General features: G+C 48.9%; 1 annotated feature.

The window, feature by feature from the left end:
- Positions 6,351-7,550: an enhancer, noted in NCBI's record as "MED14-independent group 3 enhancer chr1:37565375-37566574 (GRCh37/hg19 assembly coordinates)". NCBI's record gives its function as "activates an origin of replication core promoter dependent on BRD2, BRD4, P300/CBP and CDK7 cofactors, and independent of MED14, by STARR-seq in HCT116 cells {active_cell/tissue: HCT116}" and the evidence as "EXISTENCE:reporter gene assay evidence [ECO:0000049][PMID:35650434]".

Here is a 7,935-nt window from a genome sequence, read left to right as displayed (position 1 = left end):
TTTGCTTCCTCCCAGTCAATCTCCAGCCCACTCCCAATTTGCATTTACAATCAACTTCATCTCCATAGAACACCTATCTGATGGCTCCTGGATAATGGGAACAGGTGCATGCTACCACACAGGCCTCCAGAAAAGAGCTTTGTATTTCCCTCTTTCCCAGCTTGGGTGTACTTACTTTCTTTAAGGTAAAGTTCAATTAGCTTGTTGATATTTATGTTAAAAAGACCTGGGAGGCGGAGGGGTCCACAAGCTTTATGTGAACCAAAGGAGGGATGTGGCTCTGAGATTGTATCAATAGAGGTCTGGTATCTAGAATGAGGGAGGAGATGGCCTGCTCTGGTCCTGCCCTCACCTGGGGTTTTGATGCCATATTCTGGGGCATGTTGAGAAGAGGAGGATGAGGCTCAGCATGGCAAAGGCTATTGCATCGATCCTGGGAGAGAAACACTATCACAGCCCCATTTTACAGATGGAGAGATAGAGACTTAGGAAGCATTGTGTGCCATGTCCAAGGTCACTTATGTAGTAAATGACTGAGACAGGATTAAACCCAGACAGTCTGACCCTGAATGGATTGGCTGGGGAGAGAGCTGGACAGGGTTGGGCACTTAAGGCCCTTAGTGATTCATTTCTGGAAAACCCTATCAGGAGAAGTGCTGAGAAGAACTGTAGAGGCCCCAGGCTGCTAGTGGAGCACTCTCTGGGCTATTTGGGGTCCTGGGCAGATGTGGGAGGTTTATAAATAAAGAAATGGCCTCAGCAAAGAGCAGAATGGCAGATGTCTCAGTAGAAGGACCTAGATTCAAGTCCTCTCTCTGCCATTTCCCAGATGGGTGGCCTTGAGCAAGTAACTTCTCTGAGCCTCAGGGCCATCCTTTGTAAAGTGTGGGTGATGTTAGAACTAACTTGCAGCCATCATGAGAATTAAATGAGCTACTGGGTGCAGAGCAGATGGCACATGGCCTAGCTCCCTAAACAAGTTGCTCTTGCTGAGGTTGGAGGTTTGTCCCCACATTGTCCCATCCCACTGTTGCAAGCAGGAGCCAGAGTCAGGGAGGGCGGAGGAGACCCGAGCTGACAGCGGCTTCTCCTCTTCCATCATGCAGGCACCTGAAGACACAGGAAGCCTTTCTGCCTTCCTCCGAGATGTGTGACAAGTGTAATCACACAGTTTAGCAGTAACACCAAAGAGTCTCTGGGTACAAGATTTGTCGCTGGCTGTGAGCAGGGCTGGCTGCAGGCACTGCCTCCAGAAGACACCTGCAGAATTCCTGTGATTCTCAGCCACTTCCTCCACCACTGCCACTCCTTCACTTGCCAGAGCTGGGACTAGCCAAAGCCTGTGGGGAGGGCTGGATAGGGGGACAGGGCTGGCTGGGCACTCTTTGCCCTAAGGGCCTATTTCTGGACAACAGGAAAAGTGATGAGTGGTCTGGGCTGCTAGTGGAGCACTCTATGTGCCCTCTAGGGTGCTGGGCAGGTGTGGGAGAGTCCAACAGCTCAGGGCAGAAGCACCTGTGTCCTTTCTTCTTACCCCCAGTAAGTCAGGACAGATGCAGTGAGGTCCAGCCCACAGGCTGCCCCCGAGGGAAAAATAACCTCAGGGAGAAATCACCTCCAGCCACTCTTCCCCACTCCTCATGGTCAGCTGATTACCTTGCTTTTTATTTCTCTGAGAAAACAGAAGCAATCAGAAGTGAACTTCCCAAACTCCCGCCCCCACCTCTATAGACCTCCTTGCATCTGTGCCCACTCGGTGGTGGTTGTCCTCTCTCTGGTGACAGTGGAGGAAGCACCCCAGCTCCTGTGCAAGGCTGGCCAGCACTTGTCCCCTGAATTTCATCCCCTCGAACCTCCTCAAGGACAGCACCCTGGAGATGTCCTCTGCTTTGTCAACTTCTCCCATCATGACTGGATTATTCCCACTATAAATGCAATGCTTAATAATATATCTAATCTTAAAAGAACCCTCTCTTGGATCTCACTTGCCCTGACAGCTCCATGCCCATTTCTCTGCTTCCCTCTGAAGCAAAACTCCCAGAGAGAGTAGTCATTGCTGGTCTCCATGACCTCTCCTCCCACTCTCTCTTGAGCACACTGCCATCAGGCTTCAAACCCTGACTCTGCCAGCATGACTTCTCTGCCCCCACAATGTCAAATCCAATGGTCAGTCCTCCACCCTCAGTAGCAGCAGGTGGCAGGTGGCTGTGCCTTCCTCCTTGAAGCTCCTGCTCCACTTGGTTTCATCCTCTGATTGTTCCTCAGTCCCCTTTGCACATCCCTATTATCTCCCAACCCTGAGCATCAAAGGGCCCCAAGGTTCAGGCTTCAGACAGCTACCTGTCTATACCCAGCCCCAATGTGACTTCTTCCAGTCCGTTCAGTCTATCTTTCCTCCTCTCCAGTGGCTTCCCAATATCACTCAGAATTAAATCCTAAGTGCCCGCCATGGCCCACAGACCACACGAGATCAAGCCCCTTTGATCTCATCTCTAAACACAAATCATTGTTAGATGAACACACAGGTGTGCAACAGGAGGAAGCTGTACTCAGGACCAAGCCAGGATTGTCTCCCTCTCTTCCTCCCCAAGCCTATAGCTGTCCTACCTCTGTACTCTCTACCCCCAAAGAACTTCTTAGCTTCCTTCCATTGTCCTCCTTGGGATCCACTTGACAACAGCCAGTCTGAGGCACCCCCCCAGCCTGGGGCCTGCTGGCCTCCCTAGTTACTTGGCTACTCTTTTTTTCTATCTTTCTATGGCAGCCATGGGGAACTGCTTATCGTTTCTTGAGCAAGTCAGGCTTTTTCATCATCCTACACCTTGCACATGTAGGTCTCTCTGGAGCTTCCTTTCTACCCTTCACCCTGCATACACAAACTTATTCTTCCTTCAAAACTCAACACAACTGTCATCTCCTTCAGGGATACTTCCCTGCTGCACCAGATTAGGGAGCGACCCAGCCAAGCTGCTGCCTGGGACACCTCCTTATAAAAAGCTTTACATCTTTCACTGGAAATGTACAGACATGGAGGAAATTTTGTTTAGCAGAACTCCCTCAGGTCCTGGAAGGAATCCTTTGAGAAACAGCTGGAAGTATATGTGTGTGTTTGTTGGCAGGGAATAAGACCCTCAAGGGAAAAGGAGAATAGGAAGGTCTGTTTTAGACTTTTGCTTTGGGAGAGAAGATGCAAATGTGGGGGCAGAGCTAAATTGCTTAGGACCTAGAGAACAGGCTGAGACTCTCACCAAAATGGATAGACCATATTGGTTTGAATAGGCAGCAGGGAATGAGTCTTCCAAAAGGCTCCTGGGCTTCTGTTTGGCTCTGCTTGCCTGATCGCTCCAGTCTGGGTTAGAAGCCTCCAATTCTCCATGAACTTAGCATTTTCTATCTTGGCAAGTACTGCCCTACACTGAGAACTTCTTCTTTTCTTTTTTTATAGATGGAGTTTCACTCTTGTCGCCCAGGCTGGAGTGCAATGGCAGGATCTCGGCTCACTGCAAACTCTGCCTTCCAGGTTCAAGTGATTCTCCTGCCTCAGCCTCCCGAGTAGCTGGGACTACAGATATGCACCACTACACTTGGCTAATTTTGTATTTTTAGTAGAGTCAGGGGTTTGCCATGTTGGCCAGGCTGGTCTCGAACTGCTGACCTTGAGTGATTCACCCACTTTGGCCTCCCAAACTGCTGGGATTACAGGCATGAGCCACCATGCCCAGCCTACACTGAGAACTTCTGCTCACACATCTGTCTCCCCCTAGACTGTGGCCCCTTGGAGGGTAGGGTCTGCATCTTATCTATATTTATGACCCTAGCTATTAGCATAGAACACTGGCTTGCTGTGGGAGCTTAACAAATGCTTGTTGATTGGGTGGCTGGATTTTTTCATTTTTCCTCTTCATCCAGATATTTTGATCTCACATGTACACAGGCTGATTTCTTCCCATGCCTGTGACTTGAGTGCTGGAATTTCTTCTACTTTCTTCTTCTTCTTTGTTTTTCTTTCTTTTTCTTCTCTTTCCTCCTCCTCCTCCTCTTCCTTCTTCTTCTTCTCCTCCTCCTAATCCTCTCTTTTTCTTTCTCTTCTTCTTTCTCTTCTCTTTCTCTCCTCCTCCTTCTTCTCCTTCTCTCCTCCTCCTCCTTCTCCTTCTCTCCTCCTCCTCCTTCTTCTCCCCTCTTCCTCCTTCTTGTCTTTCTCTCCTCCTCCTTCTACTCCTTCTCGTCGTCCTCCTCCTCCTTCTCCTTCTTCTTCTTTTCTTCTTCTTCCTTTCCTTCTCCTCCTCCTCCTCCTAATCCTCTCCTTTTCTTTCTGTTCTTCTTTCTCTTCTCCTTTTCTCCTCCTCCTCCTCTTCCTCTTCTTCCTCCTCCTCTTCCTCCTCCTCCTCTACCTCCTCCTCTTCCTCCTCCTCCTCTTCCTCCTCCTCCCTCCTCTTCCTCTTCCTCCTCCTCTTCCTCCTCCTCCTCCTCCTTCTTCTTCTTCTTCTTCTCCTCCTCCTTCTTCTTCTTCTTCTCCTCTTCCTCCTCCTTCTTTTCTTCCTCTTCTTTTCTTCTCTTCCTCCTCCTCCTGCTCCTTCTTCTCCTGCTCTTCCTTCTTGTTCTTACTGTGAAGGCTTTTTTAATTGTTTTAATTTGGTATTGATCTATCATCATTGTACTGGAATTCTTTCTTACCTGTATGTGTCTCCAGCTTGCAGGTACATGGATTAGATCATGCCTGTGTCACAGGATGTTCAGGGGACCTGGGAGGATGCACTGAGCTCAGATTCAATAAACACAGGGTCCTCCTCACTGATCTTGAGATGGTTATTTTTCTTCTCAGATTTATCTTCCCATGAGAAAGAAGTTGGAGTAGAGGATCTCAGAAGTCCTCCTCACTCTGAGAGAAGCTATGGGACTCATAGAGAGCTCCTGGGATTTGGAGTCAAAAGAGCCAACTCATCCTCTGCCACCCTTAGTTAAACCATCTCTGAAATGTGGACAGTAGTGAGGATTTAACCAACAGCAGATGTGAACATGCTTGGGAAGCCACAGGAGCCATGTCCATGGAAGGGGCTTTACACACCATCGCCACTCGTGACATCTAGCAGCCCCCACCTGTCTTGTAATCTAACCCTGATCCATGCCCCTAAAGACCTTGGAGACCTTCATTCTTACTCATTCTGCCCTCTCTATCCTCATTCATTAGTTTATTCATTTATTATTTGTATTGAATGCATACTATGTGTCAAGCCCTGGGGCACAAAATTGAACAAAGCTAGCTACTACAGCTTTAGCCCTTAGGAGCTAGTCGTCTAAAGTGGTAGGAATAGCACTTACCATTCATTGTGGCTTCTATGCCAGGCACTGAGTTAGGGCCTGTCATAGCAGTGATCTCATTTCATCCTCACAAAACTCCTGTAGAGTAGGCACTCTTGCAGTTTCCATTTTGTAGATGTGTAAACTGAGCCACAGAGAAGCTAGGAATGGTGGAGATACGATTGGAGTCCAGGTCGTTTGGTTTAAGAGCCTGGGCACCACCCTCACTCCCACCTCCAACCCCGTGAGCTATACCCCTTTACTGAGCCCATGTTCATATCTAGCCACCAATGTCCAAGACACATGTGACATCTGCCCAGAGCCCATGTCACGCCACTTCACAGGGAGGCAGAGGCAGGTTTTCTGTGAGGAAGGCCCAGCTCAGTCCAGGGACAGACATGGCCGTGGGCGCTTCTGTGGGGCAAGCCTCACTGAGTCTCGGATACCTGCTCACCTGGATGAATTGTCCAGGGTGTGGAGGGAGAGGACCCAGAGCCCGTGCCCTTCAGATGCCCCCACGGCTGGAGAAGCTCCACCCTGCCCCACCCATGCCACTTCTGCAGTTCCTTTTGTTCTTGCTTCCAAGTCACAAGGTGACAGCCTGTTCCTCCTTTCTGAAGGAGCTGTGATCTGAATCAGCCCTGGAGCCCTCTGTCAGAGCTGCTCAGAGGAGGCTCCAGAAAACCCTGCCACTCTGGGGCCAGAGGCTGCAGGACGTGAAGTCTATTAAAGAATTTTGGGGCAAATATCTCACATTCACCTCTCTGCTGGCAGCAAGAGAGAGTCTCCTGGAAATGAAGGCGGGATAAGAAAGGGCTTAATTCTCACTGTTGTCTCCTATAAGCCCTTTTCCACGTGGGTAACCTGGTGTTTGTGTTTGGAAATGTGTGTGTGCAGGAGAGTGCGTGTGCACATGCAGGTATATGCATGTATGTGTATGGGGGCTGTTTGGATGCATGTACAATAGGTGCTCCGTATCTGTGGGTTCCACATTCTTGAATTCAGCCAAGGATCAAAAATATTTTTTAAAAAATAACAATGCAACAATAAAAAATAATACAAATTTTAAAAACAATCCAGTATAACAACTATTTACACTGGATTAAGTATTGTAAGTAATCTAGGTTATACAAAAACACTACCCCATTCTATATAAGGGACTTAAGCATCATCAGATTTTGGTACCTGGGGGGATCCTGGAACCTGTCCCTCCTGGGTAATGAAGGATTCCTCTCTACATGTCTCTGTGTGCATGTGTCTCTCTGGGTGTGTATTGGTTAACTCTTGCTGTATAACAGACCACTCCATTTGTCATTGCCACACATCTGTGCATTGGCTGGGCTGGGCTGATCTAGGCTGGGCTTTGCTGGAGCATCTCTGCTTCACGTGTCTCATCTTCCTGCTGGGACCAAGGGCTAGCCCAGGCATGTTCTTTTCATAGTATTGACATAAAGGCAAGAGGTCTCTTAAGGCCTAGCCTTGGAACTGCCACTCCATCACATCTGCCTTATTCTATTGGCTAAAGCAAGTCACATGACCAAGCACAAAGTCAAGGGGCAGGGAAATGTATTCTGCCCCCTCAGTGGAAATATAGGCAGAGGTGGTGAATTGGGGTCAATATTGTATTCTACCAAGAAGTGCATGCATATATGTTTGTGTATGCCCATGTGTGCTTGCAAATGTGCATGAGAGTATATGTGGGCATTGATGGCCTTCCACATATATGCAAATGTATGCACAGCTGTGTATATGCATGATCATGTCAAGCTGTAAATGTACCTGTGTTTCTGTGTGTGTCTGCTTAGGAGCATTCCTCAGACACACACGTGCAGTGCCCAGCCAGGCCATGCCAGAGGAGTGGATGGGCTGATCCTGTGAAGTGGATATATCTCCAAACCTCACAAAGATACCTGTGGGACTGCCAATGAGTTTCTTGCCATCTGCATGTGCTGAGGTAGATCTTGCTCCATTAGTGGCCCTGAGAAAATTCGCTGGTCAGTTGTCTTGTAGTCTATTATTACCCAGATGTCTGTGTGTTCCAAACGATTGTTTTTAAATTGCTTCATTAGTCTGCCTCAGCAGACCCAATCCTGCTACACTTGACTGGCTCAGGTTCTGTGGGACAGAGTTGGTGGGAGCTGAGCAGGCGGCTCACTTGCTGATATACCTGCTTGTGCAGAAGGAGGTGCCCCCAGAGACAGACAAGGAGGAGATGCCCCCACCCACCCCGCAAAAGAGGCAGCATTGTGGAGCAGGAAAGGCAAGGGCTTCGGAATTAGAGAGAGCTAGTTTCAACTCCAGAACCTGCCATTTACAGTCTGCATGACTTTGTGTTAGTTCCTGGGGCCTCAATTTTCCTCCTGCAAAATGGGGTCAGTGTCCCGATACTGCGGGTGTTTGTGAAGATGGAAGGAGATGATGTAGTATGTGGGGCATCCAGCATGGCCCATCTAGCCAGTGACCAGAATGTGGGTGTTCCCTTCCCTCTTTCCACAAAGGGCCTCTGACCTCTCTGCAGAAGCTGGGCCTCACAGTCAGACCTGACCAATTGGGTGGGTGGCACCAGTGGCCCCCAGGGGTCCACTTAGATGAGTCATTGATGTTCCAAGAAGAACCTGGAGACCCACATCTAACCGA

Source organism: Homo sapiens, chromosome 1 (assembly GCF_000001405.40).
Source record: "Homo sapiens chromosome 1, GRCh38.p14 Primary Assembly".
NCBI lineage: Eukaryota > Metazoa > Chordata > Mammalia > Primates > Hominidae > Homo > Homo sapiens.
This window is presented reverse-complemented; position numbering and strand designations above follow the sequence as displayed.